At 37.8% G+C, this 18,627-nt stretch overlaps 1 protein-coding gene across 33 annotated transcripts in view; it reads right to left on the bottom strand.

The window, feature by feature from the left end:
- The window catches only part of UNC79 (unc-79 subunit of NALCN channel complex), a 374,695-nt gene that overhangs the window by 34,601 nt on the left and 321,467 nt on the right, over positions 1-18,627 (bottom strand). For all 33 annotated transcript variants that reach the window (XM_011537027.3, NM_020818.5, XM_011537026.3 and 30 more), the window contains 3 exons: positions 17,869-18,042; positions 14,015-14,083; positions 10,562-10,672 (listed from right to left, as the gene is read on the bottom strand). In XM_011537027.3, coding sequence (XP_011535329.1) covers positions 10,562-10,672; positions 14,015-14,083; positions 17,869-18,042 — 354 coding nt within the window. The remainder of the gene's footprint in view (positions 1-10,561; positions 10,673-14,014; positions 14,084-17,868; positions 18,043-18,627) is intronic.

Genomic DNA, 18,627 nt, shown 5'->3' with positions numbered 1-18,627 from the left:
CAAAAAATTCACGGGTCAGAAATAAAAAACAGTATTCAAAAATGCATAGTGAAGTGTCCTCAAGAAATAAAATTAGAACAAAAAAAAGGCATTTTTGTGTGTGTAATGAGTTTACAGGAGCACTGAGGACAAATAATTTAATGGATAAGAAAAAGATAAGCTATCTCTTAAACACTGATGCCCCAGTATTTGGTTCTTATTCACAGGAAACAGGTTCCAAGAACTGCAGCAATTAAATCAGTCGAAAAGTATTTTTTCAACACAAAATGATTTAGAGAGAAACATATACAACTCTTTATTCTGTGACCTCTCCAAGGAACTTATTTCTGAAATGGACTATTTCAAGCATCCAGAAAAATGGAGAGAATGGAATACAGTATGCACCTACCACCCTCTTTGTCAGATCACATCATTTTGCTTTATTTGATTCATCCTTTTTTGGAATCCTAGCTTCTTTCATTCTTTCTTAAATTCATACATAATATTTGTACATATTTATGGGGTACATGTGATATTCTGTTGCATGCACAGAATGTGTAGTGATCAAGTTAGAGTATTTAGGTTATTCATCATCTTGAGTATTTATCATTTCTATGCATTGGGAACATTTCAAGTCCTCACTTATAGTATTTTGAAATGCACAATATACTGTCATTAGTTATGGTCACCTTACTCTGCTATTGAACATTAGAACTCATTTCTTCTATCTAACTGTATGCTTGTACCCATGAACCACTCTCTTCATCCTCCCCACACACACCCTTCCCAGCCTCTGGTAGCTATCCTTCCACACTCTACCTCCATGAAATCAATCTTTTTTTAGCATCCCCATATAAGTGAGAACATATGATATTTGTCTTTCTGTGCCTGGATTATTTCACTTAACATAACAAACTCCAATTCCATCCCTGTTGCTATTTTTTATGGTTGAATAGTAGTTCATTATGTATACATGCCACATTTCTTTATCCATTTGTCCATTGATGGACACTTAGGTTGACTCCATACTCTTGCTATTGTGAATACTGCTGCAATAAACATGGGAGTGCAGGTATCCTTTTGATATACTGATTTCTTTTCATTTGGATAAATACCAAGTAGTCACATTGTTGAATCATAGGACAGGTACTTTTTAGTCTTTTGAGAAATATCTATACTGTTTCCTATAGTGGCTTCATAATTTAAATTCCTACCAACAGGGCGCAAGAGTTCCCTTTTCTCCATATCCTCGCCAGGATCTGTTATTTTTTGTCCTTTTGATAATAGCCTTTCTAACTGGGGTAAGATGATATCTCATTGTGGTTTTGATTTGCATTTCCCTGATGATTAGAGATATTGAGCATTTTTTTTCATATGCCTGTTGGCCATTTGTATGTCTTCTTTTGAGAAATGTCTATTTAGGTCCTTTGCCCACTGTTTAGTGGGATTATTTACTTAGAGGGATTATTTATTTAGTGGGATTATTTACATTTTTGTTGTTGTTGTTGTTTGCTTGTTTGTTTTTAGACAGGGTTTCACTCTTGTTGCCCAGGCTGGAGTGCAATTGTACTATCTCAGCTCACTGCAACCTCTGCCTCCCGGGTTCAAGCAATTCTCCTGCCTCAGCCTCTCAAGTAGCTGGGATTACAGACATGTGCCATCATGCCCAGTTAATTTTGTATTTTTAGTAGAGATGGGGTTTCTCCATGTTGGTCAGGCTGGTCTTGTACTCCCAATCTCAGGTGATCCACCTGCCTCGGCCTCCGAAAGTGCTGGGATTACAGGTGTGAGCCACCGCGCCTGGCCCTGTTTTTTGTTTTTTTACTGTTGAGTTTGAGTTCCTTGTATATTCTGGATATTAATCCCTGGTTGAAAGTTGATTCATCCTTTTTAAATAATAAATATCACAGAAACAGCTGAAGCTACCTATACAGTGCTCTCTTTTCTTTCTTCCTTTCTCTCTTCTTTGAAGTGGCCACTATTCTGAATCTGGTATTTATTATTTCATGTATGTTTTTACAGTTTAACTACATATGTTTGTCTCCATTATAATATATAATATTGTTTGGCATTTTTAAACTTTCTGTAATGTTATCTTGTGCATATCTTTCCACAACTTGTAATTACTCACTGCAATATATCTTTGAAATTATCCTTATTGATACATATAGCTCTGGTTCTTTCAACTCAACAGCTTAACAATATATTATTGTATGAATACACCAAAATTAATCAATCAGTCCCCCTGTTGATGGAATGTTGAATTGGTTTCAATTTTGTAAGACTTTTCTATTGTTGAATATAACACATGTGCAGAAAAGTACATAAAATATAAGCATACAGTTAAATGGATTCATATGTATGATACTGTAAAATATATATTTGGTCTTTGATCCTGTATCTGATATACAACTCCTAAAATCCTTAGACTCTCCCAAACTGATTCTTTTTGTATGCTAATAAGTTGACTGATGGCTGGCAGCCTAGGTAGCATTAGGAAGAGGACTGATCATCTGAAAGACCAAGGCACAATTAGAGAGTTGGGGCTATCAGCCCCACCCCTCAACCTTTAGAGAAGTGCTTAGAAGGGTTGATGGCTGGATTGATCACCAATGGTCAATGGATTAATTGACCATGTCTACATAATGAAACCTCCATAAAAACCCAAAAGAAAAGGGTTTGGAGAGCTTCTGGATAGCTAAACACATGGAGGGTTCCTGGAAGGTGGCATGCCCAGAGAAGGCATGGAAGCTCTGTGCCCCTTCCCATGTGCCTTGCGTTATACATCTCTTCATCTATATCCTTTCTAATATCCTTTATAACTGGTAAATGTAAGCAAGTGCTTTCCTGAGTTCTGTGAGCTGCTCTACCAAATTAATTGAGCCCAAAGAGGAAGGATCCCTAATTTATAACCAATTAGACAAAAGCACGGGTAAAACAACCAGAGCCTGCAATTGGCAAATGAAGGTGGGAGATGGAGGACAGTCTTAGGGGCTGAGCCCTCAACCCATGGGATCTGATGCTATCTCCAGGTAATTAGTGTCAGAATAGAAATGAGTCTATTCTGCAGAATCCATTGCTTGCTTTTTGGTGGGAAGAAATCTCCACACATTTGATCACAGAAGTCTTTGGTCTTGATAACTGTGAGAGCAGAGGAAAAACATGGCTTGAGTTTGAGTTTTTCCAGTCTCAGAAGATGGACCGAACACTCATGTAATCACCTCCCAGACAAACAACAGCACATTGCAAGTGTCTCAGAAGCCCTGTGTATCTTAATCCTTTCATAATCAAATAAGTAGAGTCCCTGTGGGGTTGTCTCCACTGTCTTTTCTTCCTATTCATTTTCACTCATTGTGTCTTGCCCCCTCATATGTCTGGTTATCTTTGATTGTGTGCTGAATGCTTTGTTAGGAAGATATTTGCAGAAATGGTTTGCAGCCTGAAATGCTACCTTCCTTCAAAGAGCTTTCTGTTTGTTTAGTGTCGGGGGCACAATCACAGCTCACTGCAGCCTTGACCGCCTGGGCTCAAGTGATCCTTCCACCTCAGCCTTCAGAGTAGCTGGAACTACAGGCATGCGCTACCATGCCCAGCTAATTTTTTTAAAATTTTTTTATAGAGACGAGGTTTTGCCATGTTACCCAGGCTCAGGGTTACCTTAATACACATACAAGGCTTGTAATATTTTACATTGGGCTACCACAGGGCTTGACACTGAGCTGTGTCCACATGAAGGAAAGTTACTATGGGGGTGTCTTTACACCAAAATGTAAAGCCAAAAATGTGTGGGTCAGGAGGCATGGCATCAGGGTCTCCATTCTTGGTAGGTTCTGGATCCGGACTTTTGTTCCTCTAGCCTCATGGGGCTTCCAAAACTGCAGCCTCTCAGTCACATCTAGATTGACAAACACTCCCTGGGTAAAAATGGCCATCAGTGCTGGGCTAACACCTCTGAATATCTGGGCTCTTCCTGATCTGAGCCTCATAACCCTTCTCTATATAGTTAGCATTTTGAAGAAGTTTTCAGAAAATGTTTTGTTCACTTTTTTTCTTTTTACTTTTTAAGTTAACTGGGAAAACAGGTTCAAATTATCTTGTTTACCACCACCAGAAGAGAAAATCCAGGATTTTAATTGTCATTATACTAAACCTATAGGTTGTTCTGTGAGAATTACCTGTTTTTACTACTCTGGGTCTTCATCCATGAACATAAAATCTCTTTCCATTTATTTAACATTGTGTAATGCTCTCCAGTAAAATGTTCCAGTTATCTCCATAAAGTTCTTGCATATTCTTTTTTTTTTTTTTTTTTTTTTTTAGACAATGTTCTCACTCTGTTGCCCAGGCTGAAAGCTCACTGTAGCCACAAACCCCCAGACTCAGGTGATTTTCCCACCTCAGCCCCGCAAATAGCTAGGACTAGAGGATAATTTTTTTTTTTTTTTTTGTGAAGGACACAGAGTCTCACTCTGTCACCCAGGCTGTAGTGCAGTGGTACAGTCACGGTTCACTGCAACCTCTACCTCCTGGGGCTAAGCAATTCTCCCACCTCAGCCTCCCAAGCAATGGGACTACAGGTGCGTGCCATTATGCCCAGCGAAATTTTTGTATTTTGGTAGAGACAGTGTTTCACTATGTTGCCCAGGCTGGTCTCAAACTTCTGAGCTCAGACAATCCACCCACCTTCACCTCCCAAAGTGCTAGGATCACATGCATGAGCCACTTTGCCCCGCCTAATTTTTTTTTTGTATAGAGATGGAGTCTCGCCTTGTTGCCCAGGCTGGTCTCAGGCTCCTGGGCTCAAGCGATCTTCCCACCTTGGCCTTCCAAAGTGAAGGGATTATAGGCATGAGCCACCACACCCAGCCATTGCACATTCTTAATAGATTTATCTTTTGTCACCACAATAGATGACATTTTAAAAGTATGTTTTATAATCATCTGTAGTTGAATATTAAAATTTGGTGATTTCTGGGTATTCATTTGTATCCAGCATCCTTGCTGAGCTCTCTTGTAGGTTCTAAAAAGCTGTCTATAGATTCCCTTTGGTTCATTTGTAATCGTATCACCTATGAAAAATGAGAGTTGTATTTTTCCTTTCTAATCCTTATACCTTTGATTTCTTCTTCCTGTCTTGCAGAACTGAATGGGACCTCCAGCACCATGATAAATAGAAACAGTGATGATAGACTTTCTCATCTTATTTATGATTTTAAAGGGATGACTCTTAGCATTTCACCATTAAATATAATGCTGGCTAGATGTTTCTGGTAGACCCACTATATGAAGTTAAGAAAGTTCCCTTCTATTCCTAGTTTGATAAGAGCTTATGATAAATGACTGAATTACAAAAAATTATTTTCTTGCACCTGCTGAATAATGATAGAAGTTTTACTTCTTCAATCTGATAACATGGTGATATTAATAGATGTTCTAATATTTAAACATTTTTATATTTTGAGACATTTCCAACTCTGTCAAGAGGCCCTATTTTTAATGATTGATTTGCTATTATTCATTCAGAAGTTTTGCATCTATGAAGGATATTGACCTATAATTTTCCTTTCCCCTATTGTCCTTCTCTGGTTGATATCAAAATTCTACTGGCCTCATGAAATGTGTTGGGAAGTGTTCCTTTTTTTCTATTCTATTAGTTTGTATAAAGAAGAGATCGATCAGTTCTTAAATGTTTAGTAGAAGTTGTCCTCTAAAGCTGGAATAGTTTTTGAGGGTAGGTTTTTAACTATTGATTCCATTTTCCAGGCACCTAAGTCTAGTCAGTTACTTCTTTTTCTTTCTTTCTGGATGTTTTGTATTATATATTTCTAGAAAATTGTACCTACTGTCAAAGATTTCAAATTTACTGGCATAAGGTTGTTGATTTCAAAATCTCTGTCTGTAGTTATGCTGATATTCTTTATCAGTGTGTTTTATCTGGTTTTCTTGATCAGTCTTGCCAACGGTTTGTCTATTTTATTAGTCTAGTCAAAGAGCCACCTTTCTGTTGTATTGATCTTCCATTGTATCTATGTTTTCCTTCCTTCTTTCCTTCCTTCCCTCCTTCTCTCCCTCCTTTGTTCCTTCCTTTGTCCTTCCTTCCTTCCCTCCTTCTCTCCCTCTCCTTCATTCCTTCCTTTCTTCCTTTCCTTCTTCTCTCTCTCCTTCCTTCCTTCTTTCTTTTTTTCAAAGAAGAAGAAAGGGTCTTGCTCTGTCACCTAGCCTAGAGTGCAGTTGGTGCAATCATAGCTTGTGGCAGCCTCAAACTCCTGGGTTTAAGCAATCCTCCCACCTCAGCCTCCAGAGCAGCTAGGACTACAGGTGCATGCTATCACACTGGCTAATTGTTTTATTTTTCTGTAGAGACAGGGTCTTGTTATGTTGCCCAGGCTGGTATATCTGTTTTTTATTTCATTAATTTCTGCTATTATCTTTACTGCTTCCTTTCTTTAATTAATTAATTGCCTACTATCTGTTCCATGTTTTAAAATCTTCCACATTTTTAAATCTGTTCTAAAATTGGTTGATTCAGGATTCTTTATATGACCGTTGCATCCACTTTGCTCACTGTTATTGTTTGAATCTACTATATGTTTTATCTGCTTGATCTATCCATAACTGAAAGAGAAAATCTCCCTGTATAACTGTGAATTTATCAATTTATCTTTGTAAGCCTATTATATTTTGTTTTATATATTTGGAGGCTATATTATTAGCTCTGTGTAATTTTTGAATTGTCACATTATCCTGGTGAGTTGCTCCTCTTATCAATATATTGTGACTTTCTTTGTAATAATGCTTTTCAACTTAAAGTCAGTTGACTAACTTCAGCTTTCTTTTTATTAGTATTAGTCTGGTATATCTTTTTCAACCTTTTTCTTTTAAATTTTCTTGCTGTCTTTAGACATGTTTTAGATGTAGATTAATTTTTAAAAGTCAATCTGACAATCCCTAGTGAGTCTAGTAAACTTATATTTATTGTGATTCTGTCATCCTACGTGTGCTTATTACAGCTTGTTCTATGCTTCTCTTTTTGTCTTGATTGAATTTTTATTCTTGTTTTATTCTATGTTTGGAACTTATAAATTCTATTTCTGGCCTTTGGAGTTTACATTTACAATGTCTACCTGTATTCTTAAGAGTTCAAAGTTATTCATTATCTCTGTCCTTCTTGTAGATAATATATAGAATGCTTTAACTCCAGTCTCCAACCACACACACACACACACACACAAACACACACCCCTTACAGAGTACTATTTTCTAGTATTCTATTGTCATTTTGTTTTTATGCCTATCTGACTAACATTATTATTATTACTGCTTTGTATTATCAATGGTCACTTAGATTTTCACACTGTACCAATTTCTGAGCATCATTCCTTCACACATTTCACTCCTTCCTTCTTGGTTCACTTTCCTTCTTACATCTTTTAGTAGTTGTTTCAGTAAGAATCTATTAGAAGCCTTCTTATTTTCCTGATATAATATCTATTTATCCTTCATTCTTGAAGGATAGCTTAGCTGGTAGAGAATTCCAAGTAGATAGTTCTTTTTTCTTATCATTTTAAAGACTTTTTTTTTCAATTATCTTCTGGCTTCTATTGTGCTGTTGAGAAGTGTATTGTCTGTCTTCAGAGTGTCTTTTCCCTTGGTTTTTCTGAAAATATTTTCTTTGTCTTGACTGTTTTGACAAGTTATACCTACTCATGTACATTATGACATGAGCAGGTAAAACTTTAGTTTATTTATAATACTTTCAGGGCTCATTGTGCTTCCTGAATCAGAAAATTAAATATTTCCATCAACTCTAGAATTGATAAAAAGCCTATTTTCCTTATCTGAAATATTTATTAGATATCTGTTAGAATTTCTCTTTATATTCATCTCTTTATCTCTCTCTTCTGAATTCTAGGTAATTTCTTCTCATCTATTTTCCATTTCACCAATTCTCTCTTTGGCTATGTCTAATTTACTATTTAATCTATCCATTAAGTTTTTTATATCAGTGATTGTTTTTCATTTCTAGAATTTCTACTTTGTTTAAATCTGTCTGGTTTATTTTCTTTTTTTTTTGAAATGACTAAATCTATTATATTATTTTATTTATTTTTCATATGCTTATCATTTAAAGTATAGTCATTTAGATTTATATTTTTATTATATTTTATAATATTTATATATACATTCTTCATATGCATATCATTTAAAGTATAGTCACTTATATATTGTCATTTTTAATGATATGTATATCATTTATAGTCTTTATCACAGTTTTAATATTGAAAGTTCTTGTGGGAAATGATCTTGCTACTTGTTGACTTTCCTAATCTATCACAAGGTGGGTTGTATCTTCATTTGCTTTGTAATTTTAGATTATGAGCTCATGTTCATTAGGATTTTAACTATAGGAATCCTGCTGGGCCTAGGTTGGAGATATATTCCTCCAGAGAGGGTTGAGGCTTGTTTTGATCTTGCTTCTGCCAGATATTCCAAGGTTATTACTTACTAAGCACTAATGTTATTTGACTCTTCAACTTGGGAGTTCCAAGAGCATGCAGATATTATAAATTCAAACTCTAAACCTGATCCAAGATAGGCCCATGTTTACTAATTTTCAAGGGAGACTATAAATCTTTCTCCCAGTTCCCAAACTGAGACAGATACCATTCTTTGTCACCTCTATATAAGAATGTATTCTTTCCAAACCACCCTTTTACCAAGTGAATAGGCTTTCAAGGGTTCTGACCTTTTGCTAGGGATAACTCAGATCAAACTCCCTGCCTGGATAATCCCAAGACTTCATCTCTTTTCTTTGTATGGGCTTTAAAACTCTAGCCACTAAGTTACCAAGACAAGCAACAGCCCCACCACAGGGCTACTTATATGCTTACCACTCTGATTGTCAATCCCGCTTCATTTTTGCCCCTTTCATTCTATAAAATTAGCTCTACATTAAAAATCACCTTTATTACATTTCATCCAGTGTTCCTAGTATTTTAAGTGGGGTGGTTTTCAGGGTATCTAGACTACCAGTTTGCTAGAAAGTGAAGTCTCCAAAGTTCTTACCTTTCTATGCCTTTTCTTTTGATTATATAAGGGAGACAGCTCAATTAGCTACTGCTATTTTTAAACGATTTCTTATAGTTTCTCATTATCTGTGAGGAAGGTAGGAACACCATCAACTAAAGCTTTCTACAAGTAATCATCATCTTGTATTAGAATGAGAAAGGGTAGATGATAATGGGAAGTAAAAGGCCACTAAAGTTATGAGGGATTATGAGGAGATATCCTGTGTAATGAATATTTTGAATTGAAAACCAATAATATCTTGAATCCAAATGCTAGAAGGTCCCCTGTAATCAATATCTACAGTGTACAACATAGAAAGTATAAACTTATTATGATTCTTCCCCCAAAAAAGGTATAATTTAAACAAATTAAACATAAACACAATGAAGAAATCAAATGGTTTCTAGAAATAGAAAATCTTTTTGGTGCTGTGTCTTATAGATCTACATTTTTAAGTGAAAAAGAAGAAGAAGTTATCTTTCAAGAAGTTTCTAAAAGAAGAAAAAAATGCTGACCATCATGGTAGTTAGAAAACATATTGCTCCAGGCAGGGTAATAAATAGTTTCTAATCAGAAAAACAAAGATTACCATGGAACATTTAACATGACAGAATGGACCCAAGTTGGTAAGAAAGGGGACAAGAATGCTTTAAATAGAATGAAAGCCTCAGTATAAAATTAGATTTTTATGAGGAAAATAAAGGGCTTATAGAAATGGACAACATGAATAAGAAACATTCTGAATGTTCAAGAGAGAACAACAGAAACAGAGACCCATTGAAAACAAGCTTGGAAAATTAGGAAATTGAAAGGGTAACATTTGCACATTGTTCTTAAGGACAGAAATGCTCCCATTTTGCCCTGCCTTCTGATTTTCCATTAGGACAGCATCTACCAGCTCCAACAAGGCTGCTACTGCCACTGGGCCAGCAGTACTTTTCCACTTTCTCAGTAGTGGGCCAGGGGTTCTACAGATAATGCAATAGAGAAACCATTATTAAGGCAAGATGACAAAAGATGAGATAAGATTCCAATCTCAGAGGCCAAGAACCCAGACCTGGAGAGACAGACAAATGATGAGAATTAAGGAGCTCTTCAAAGGCTTTTACAAATGACAGCTGATATTTTTCTACTTTGGGTATAAAAATGATATGTAGAGATGCCTTGCCCCACTAATCATGGGATGATGAACTTGAAAAGGACCTTAAGAGGTCATGTCAACCATTAGCTCTTTTCATTAAAAATACCACTTCTGTTCTAACCACATGACCCTCAGTTCTCTGAATCTGCATATGTGCATATTTTAGACATTGTATGTGTGTTTGTGTGTGTGTGTGTGTGTGTGTGTGTTTAAAGTGTTTCCTTACCATGGTATTTATTAGACCTCAGTAGAATTACTCATTTTTAACTATATGGAAGCAACTGAGCTAAAAGGGACTTGACACTGATTCAAAAGAATATATTTCTGCCAGTTTTCAGTTTCACAGGAACACACATATGGAAGCTTGCTTACCTTAGTGAAAGCTCGGTAACATAAGCCACACAGCTCCACCAGGTAGGCCAGAGTGAAGACGGCATTCTGAATTACAAAGCTGAGCAGTTTTGAAAATGGTTCCAACAAACTCTGCAATGAGATTGGGGCCAAATAAAGTCAATTGCTGATTACTTCATTTCAAAAAAAGTATTAAAATCTTATGATACTTTAACTAATGGAATCACTTTTTTTTAATTGAAAACTCTGTTGCCCAGTGGCTCCTGTAGCAACCCCATTGGTCTAATAAAAACAGAACTGCACCTTCAGTCAAGGGCTCAAAGAGCAGGACCAAATCATTTCACTGCTCAAAAAGACATTCATTTTTCCATATGGTATCATTTACAAACCTTCCTTACTACAACCCTGTCTTCGTGTCCACCCTAAGCAATCAAGAGTGTGGGGTTTGCAGTGGGATCTTCCACTTTATTTTCAGAACATTTAAGTATTTATGAGTTCATCATATTCAGATCTGGAAGCCTGTCTTCTGGGTTAAGTAGTGCAAACCACCCTTACGTGTAAGTACTAAAGTACTATAGCTTAGATAAAATTCATCACAACCCAGCCTCCTGCCAATGTTAATCAGGAAGGCATAGTCTGTTTTGGTTTCTCCCCCTGAATCCTACCCATGAAGGATCAGTTTTAGTTCCATATGCTTTCTTAAGTCATTTAGAAACATTTGTTGAGTACCTACTGAGTGTCAGACAGAGTTAGATGGATGATTTCATATAGTTTATCTTACTCAAATTTCTCATAACTATCCTGGGAGACAGTGTGTTATAATATAGGTAATGACACAAGCACTAAATTCTGACACAAGGGTTTTCACACTCTAGCTCACTGTGACCTTGAATAAGTGATTTAATCTCTCTGGAACTTGGTTTTCTCCTCTGTAAAAGGGGGATAATAATGGCTTCCACCTCATTAGGGTGCAAGTTATGAGAATTAAAAGAGATAATATATGTAAAGCACTTGGCACCAGTAAGCTCTCCATCAGTGTTAGCTATGATCTTCATTATTAACCTTCTGAAGCTTTAGTATCCATTCCTGCTCTGCAGCTTAGGCAGTTAAGTAGACAAGCAATTTGCCTAAGACCATAAAGGTATCAGGTAGAATTCAAAGCCAAGTTCCAGGGCAATTTTCCAGAGGTAGAATTGCTCTGCAGAGAAGATAGGATTTTAACTGGACTCCAAAACACTTGCATGCCATGAGTTCCAATACTTCTCAATCTCTATAGTGCTCACTGTCTGGTTTTCAAAAGTCATACATGTTCAATGTCAAACTCAAGATATGTAGGAAAGGACACATGAGGAAGAAGTAAAAGTCATCCATAGTCCCACCACCTTGTGATTATATTTTGATATGTAGTGGAAATATTACACATGTACAATCCTATATTTTGTTTTATATTAACTTAATACAACATCAGAAATTCTCAGTGCCATTTAATTCTTCATAATCATCCATTTTAATGGCCACAAAGTCACATTTTACTATAAATAACAACCCAATAAATATATTTTACATGAAATTAGCATTTGCATTTTCTTCCTTGAATAGATTCCCAGAAAAAAAATGACTAAATTAAAGGACATGAGCGTATTTGAGGTTCTTTTTTCTAATCGATATGAAAATGAATGCACTTTGTGTTAGTTGCCCCTAAAGATAGGAATTCTGTTTTTTACTTATTTGTATTCCCCCACAGAAATCCATGTGGTGCTTTCCATATAGAAAATCTTAAAGAAACTCACAGACTTAGTACTAATGATTCATTATTCTTTGCTCCATATAAATGCTATTGCCTTGAGGTTGGGCGCAGTGGGACATGCCTGTAATCCCAGCACTTTGGGAGGCTGAGGCTGGTGGATCACTTGAGGTCAGGAGTTCGAGACCAGCCTGGCCAACATGGTGAAACCTCATCTCTACTAAAAATACAAAAATTAGCCAGGTGTATGGTGCATGCCTGTAGTCCCAGCTACTTGGGAGGCTGAGGCAGGGAGAATTGTTTGAACCCGGGAGCCGGAGGCTGCAGTGAGCCAAGTTGGCATCACTGCACTCCAGCCTGGGTGACAGAGCGAGACTCTGTCTCAAAATAAAATAAAATAAAATAAAATGAACACACACACACACACATATATATATATATATATATATATATATATATATATATATATATGCTATTGTCTTGAAACATTGTCAATAGATGAAAGGAATAGGAATGTCTCATGTTGCACATAATGTATCCTTATTGGTCAAAAAGAGAAGCCTGAATTCAAGCCTATATGGAAACTTGCTCTTATATTTAGAAGAGCAGCATAGTGATGGGGCGATATGGACCCAAAAGACTTATGTTCAAGTCACAAATCTTCTACTAACCAGCTATGTGATCTTGGCCAAGACAATCCATCTCTCTGAGCCTGTTTCCTCGTCTGTAAATGAGTGGATTGAACCAATGATCTCTTTGTAACTTTCTAGCATAAACCATGAGTCTATGAAAGCACAGTCAAGTTAAACAGTTGCAGAATACGTACATTGTTGGTATATTAAATAGTAATTACAAGCTATAGCAATGCAAACTATTGTACCACTGCAGCGAATGCAGTGCAGAAATACAGCTTGGAATACAAAAGTGAATGAGACACGGTGCAGAACTTCTTGAAGCTTGTGGTCTCATTGGAACCACTTCAGGGCAATGTAAGTGCTACTATAGAGAGCTCTATCAAATACCATGGAAGCTGATACAGGAAAAAGTTACTACAGATAATATGAATATGTTTTTTCATTAAATGGGACCTTGAAGAATGAGAAGGAGTTCACCACACCAGCAAGGGCATAAAACATTTCAGGCAAAGGAAATGGCCTAAGCAAAGGCAAGGAAGTATGAAATTAAATAAGATTATATATCTGAAGCATTAAGCATAATGTCTGCCATATGATAACAAACAGTGGTTGTTGTTTCGATGATGATGATGATAACGCTGATTCTGAAAGTGCATAGGAGGAAGGGATGAATAAGACATGGAGCCAAAGATTAAATTGGAAAGGTGGGCTGGAGAGTTATGAAGTAACATCTTAGATACCACATTAAGGAATCTGGACATCATCCTGACAGAAATGAGAAGTTATCAGAGATTTTAAAGCAAAGAACCAACACGATAAGATCCTGTTTAGAAGGATCGCCTAGTTAGTAGTATGGGGGATGGATTGGGGGGCATGGCCCAGGGTTAGCAGGACCAGTTATAAACCATGACATTGTGATGTATTAGATAGAGTTCTTTATACAAGGCACTGACCTAGCATGAAGAAAAAGAAGGAGGCTGAAAGGGAAGCATTCAGTATGCCATAACTATGTCTTCAGTATTGCTACAAGCCTATCTCATTAGGTTAAAAAAAACTGACTAACCAATTGGTTATGTTTTTCTGAAACATACATACCCTTGTAGCATTGGTAGAAGGGATCTTCAAGAGGCAAATCATAATTCTTAAACTGGAATCTAAAGAACACTGTGAATAAATATGAAAAAAAGTAAAAATTAGTTTCCACCTTAATATAACTTTTGCTTCAAATATGTTCTGAAAGCATTTAGTTTAGCAAAAGGAAAATCTGAAATATGACTGCATCTCAACAGATTCCCATGCCATAATATCCTTGTTGAAAAAAGTCATTCTCAGGTTAAAACAATTTTAATTAAACAATTATACAATGGTAAACAATTAAATAATTAAACACAGCTCCTAAAGTATTTTTCAAAGATATAGCCCTAAAAATTAATGAGATAGACAGTTGAATAGAGACATGGTGGATGGATGGGTGGATGGATGGATGGATGGATGGATGGATGAATAGATGGACAGACAATGAACAGAAATTTGTTGGGTAGATATTAAATGTATCTAATTCTAAAGAGATGCACCAATTTGTGAAAGGACTTTTTAGGGAAAAAAACTACTTAGATCTATTTTTAAAAAAACCATGAATCCACATAAGAACCAGTTTCATCTGCCCTTTCTCTGCTATGAAGCAACACGACAAAAACCTGAGAAAATGCAGTAAAATTTCTACAAGACAAAATCATGCCTTACCTATCCATTCAAGTTCTATATTGACAAGATTCCACATCAAAATGTACTTTTTAAATTGAGTTTACTAGGACTGGGGGTAAACGTTACAGCAAGAATAAACAATGATATGGTAAATAGATCACAATAGCAGGCTATAGTTAAATTTCTGCAGCTGTGCACCTACATTAACTTCCTCAAGATAGTAAAAAATAAGCAGGAGTTTTCCAAGTGGAATCCCAGAACCAGCAGCTAGAAATGTGCCAGAATGCAAATCCTCAAGCCCTACCCCTGCTGAATCAGAAACTCCCAAATCAGGCCCAGTAAGTTGTGTTTTAGCAAGTCCTTCAGGGACAGTGATGCACACTGACGTTTGAGATCTGCTTCTATAAACTGATGAAAACAAACTATAGAAGGTTTCAGTGGCTTATTATTTTCCCCAGAGATTAAAAACAAAGGCAGAAGATGATCAGGGGCAGTGCCCAGATCTGCCCTAGCGGGAGAAATTCTTACACAGATTTTGAAAGTATTTCACAAGTGCCTTCTAAGGGAACCACTGGTTCTATTTAATCTGCTCGACACTCATCGGAGTTGATGTGACATTTACACTACTTTAAACCAGAGGCTGAAAACTGGCTGCTCATCAGGCCCCCATAGTGATTTAAAAACCAGAAAATGTTCTCTTGGGAAAAAAAAGGAAGACAGACAACCAGAAGCCTGCGCTCCCACAGAACAACAATTGGCAGGCGTGAGTAGCCACTGACCTCATAGAAGGACTGGCACATTCTAGTTCCTAAGGGTCTCAATTCTCCTTATTATCTTTTCTCCTTTATTAACCCTGTAGGCAGGGTCCCTATGGGCAGGTTGATTGTCACAAATTAGGCACGCCACTTGTTTACAGCTGGCAACACTTGCCACTCTTCTGTGCCCAAGTTAAATCTTCTGACAGTCACATCGGCACACAGGCATTTAAATTTGCCATACCTCAGCCGGGCGCTTTGGCTCACGCCTGTAATCCCAGCACTTTGGGAGGCCGAGGCAGGAGGACCACAAGGTCAGGAGATTAAGACCATCCTGGCTAACATGGTGAAACCCCGTCTCTACTAAAAATACAAAAAATTAGCTGGGCATGGTGGTGGGCGCCTGTAGTCCCAGCTACTCAGGAAGCTGAGGCAGGAGAATGGCGTGAACCCAGGAGGCGGAGCTTGCAGTGAGCCGAGATTGTGCCACTGCACTCCAGCCTGGGTGACAGAGCGAGACTCTGTCTCAAAAAAAAAAAAAAAAAATTTGCCATACCTCATCCCATCCCTTCTCTTAGCCTGTGCGGCTCTTTAGCAGTGAAGCCCTGATTGGTTCTCGGGTCCTAGGAGGTTCCATGTGCTTAAAATTTGTGCACTCAGTTTCCTGTGTGTTGATGTACAGTAGCTATACACATACACAGTTTCAAAGTACTAACCCTTCTTGCTTGGATTTATTCAGCTACTCCACATCTGTGGGCAAACGAGGATCATAGAATATAAGAGGTGGTAAAGATCCCTCCTCTATACTCCTGCTTCTTACAGTAACTCAAAGCTCAAAGCAGCACACGCTGAGCTAAGGGTCCCTGCATTATCCCTTACAGACCTATTAGTAGTATCTGCCCATTTGGAAAAATGTATTAGCATAGGTTGTTGATCTTTATCAAGTATCTTATGTTACATAATACTCATTTCAGAAGTGGAGCTACTAATAGGTAACCTGATCCTTTTGTTTTTCTGTCTATGGGAAATGCACTTTATTTTTATTTTATCTTATATTTTTGAAACAAGATCTCACTCTGTTGCCCAGGCTGGAGTGCAGTGGCACAAATATGGCTCATTACAACCTCGACTTCCCAGGCTCAAGCAATCTTCCCACCTCAGCCTCCCAAGTAGCTGGGACAAAAGGTACATGCCATTACGCCTGGCTAATTTTTAAAATACTTTCTATTTGTTTATTTATTTTTGAGACAGAGTCTCTCTCTGTCATCCAGGCTAGAGTGCAGTGGTGCGATCATGGCTCACTGCAGTCTCAACCTCCTGGGCTCAAACAATGAGCACACCTCAGCCTCCCAAGTAGCTGGGACTACAGGTGCATGCCACCTTGCCCAGCTAATTTTTTTTAAGAGACAGAGTCTCACTATATTGCCTAGCCTATGTTTTTTTTTTTTAATCTTTCGTAGAGACGAGGTCTCGCCATGCTCCCCAGACTGCTCTCAAACTCCTGGGTTCAAGCGATCCCCCTACCTCTGCCTCTCAAAGTGTTGGGATTACAGGCATGAGCCGCTATGCCCTGCCTGATTCATTTTGTTGCCAGTTAAATGCTTCTGTAATCTGCATAGAGAAAGCACAAAAAACCTCATGGAACAGGTCAGGTTCAAAGCCAGCAACACCACTGCCAGCCACCACTCTGCCCCCTACTCTAGAGACATGAATGCCTTCAACTCACCCCTGCTGCAGAAGGGCAAGAAGAGTCTGCTAGTGAAATGAGCACTGGACTGTGAGTCAGAAAACCTCAGTTCTAATCCTCACATTGCCACCACTGTGTTGTTTCCAGAAGCTATACCATCTCTCTGAATTTGCAGAATTCATTTAGAAAACAGAGGCATTGGAAGGGATGATCTTTATAGGTTTCTTCCAGCTTTAACAGTATTGGCTTCTTATTTGCATTTACTGAGCTCATGTTGTCAATGATCCTTGGGCCACCAGATTTCCAGGTAGGTAATTGTGTGTGTATTCTTGGGAGATGGTATGGTGTAGGGGGTAACAGTCAAGCAGAAACATCATCATTCACAAACACAGCAATTACTTCCCTTTAGATAATTCTCTAAAATGGAAACTTTACATTATATGTCTGAGCTGCTTTTGGACAAAACTATTTACTTACTTATTTAATATCTACGGGAGAAAAACTGCCGGATAAACACAGTCTACTCATGTCTTCCTGGCTGTTTTTTTGTTTTTTTTTTTTTTTTTCAAATCAACTGGAAACATGCATATTCATAGTCAGTGAGCAAAATGCTCACTCCACATTCCTGTCATTCTCTAAGAGAAGACAGAACAACCCAAATAAGCATCCTCACTCCATGGCTGACGGAGTTTCCTCATTAACCTTTGCGATACATTAAATCACCCAAGACTCTGCTGCTTGTAAATAAACGGTCTGAAAATGGTAAGAAATTAATTGAAAATGAAACCTTCGGCTCAGCTTACCTTCAGAGGTAAAACACAAGGCAGCTTGGCAAAAAATGTCTGAAACTGGTTGCTAATTGTGGTCCAGAGGCTACTAGGAGAATCCATAGGCAAAGCTTCCATGAAGGTTGCAATGTTTTCCAAACAGCGAATCATAGCACCCCCTGCTGGTAAATTCTTTTTGTTATTTAGACCCTAAAAACACAAAAGCATAGGCCATCAACTGCTGAAACAGCACGGGAATGCATAGCGCTATTTGGTAAATGTCAGTTTAAAAGTCACATCTTCAGGCTATAAACGTGTTCAGTGCCTACTACATAGGCCAATCCCTGTGATAGACTGGAAGGATAACGAGAAAATCGTTCAGACAAACTTAAGGGGGAAAATTGATGAGAGGTGAAAAGTGAGCAAGAAATAGGAAACAGCTTCCAAGGGTCTACAATTGGTGTGGTTAGGTGCTAAGAAAACAATGAATGATGCTCACTGTAAATAATCCCCAGCACAAAGACTGAGCATAGAGTTACAGGAGCTGCAGCTTTTTTTCTAGCAGTGAGCATCTCCCGCAAGCAAACCCCAAGAGCTGACCTGCAGCAGTGCTGAGACTTGAACCCAAGTCTCTTGATCCAACGCCCATAGCTCCACCCACCACTCTGCCCTTGGAAAACCAAGTTGTTCTGTGGAAGCAAGGTCACGACTTAGCTGAGGGTATGGAGAAGTTTTCAATGAAGAGTAAATCCACGCAAAGCCGCAATGTCCAACTGACACTATTCTATGCAATTC

This window comes from Homo sapiens, chromosome 14, assembly GCF_000001405.40.
Source record: "Homo sapiens chromosome 14, GRCh38.p14 Primary Assembly".
In the NCBI taxonomy this organism is placed as follows: Eukaryota; Metazoa; Chordata; class Mammalia; order Primates; family Hominidae; genus Homo; species Homo sapiens.
Note: the sequence above shows the minus strand (reverse complement) of the source record. Positions and strands in the feature narration are given on the sequence as shown.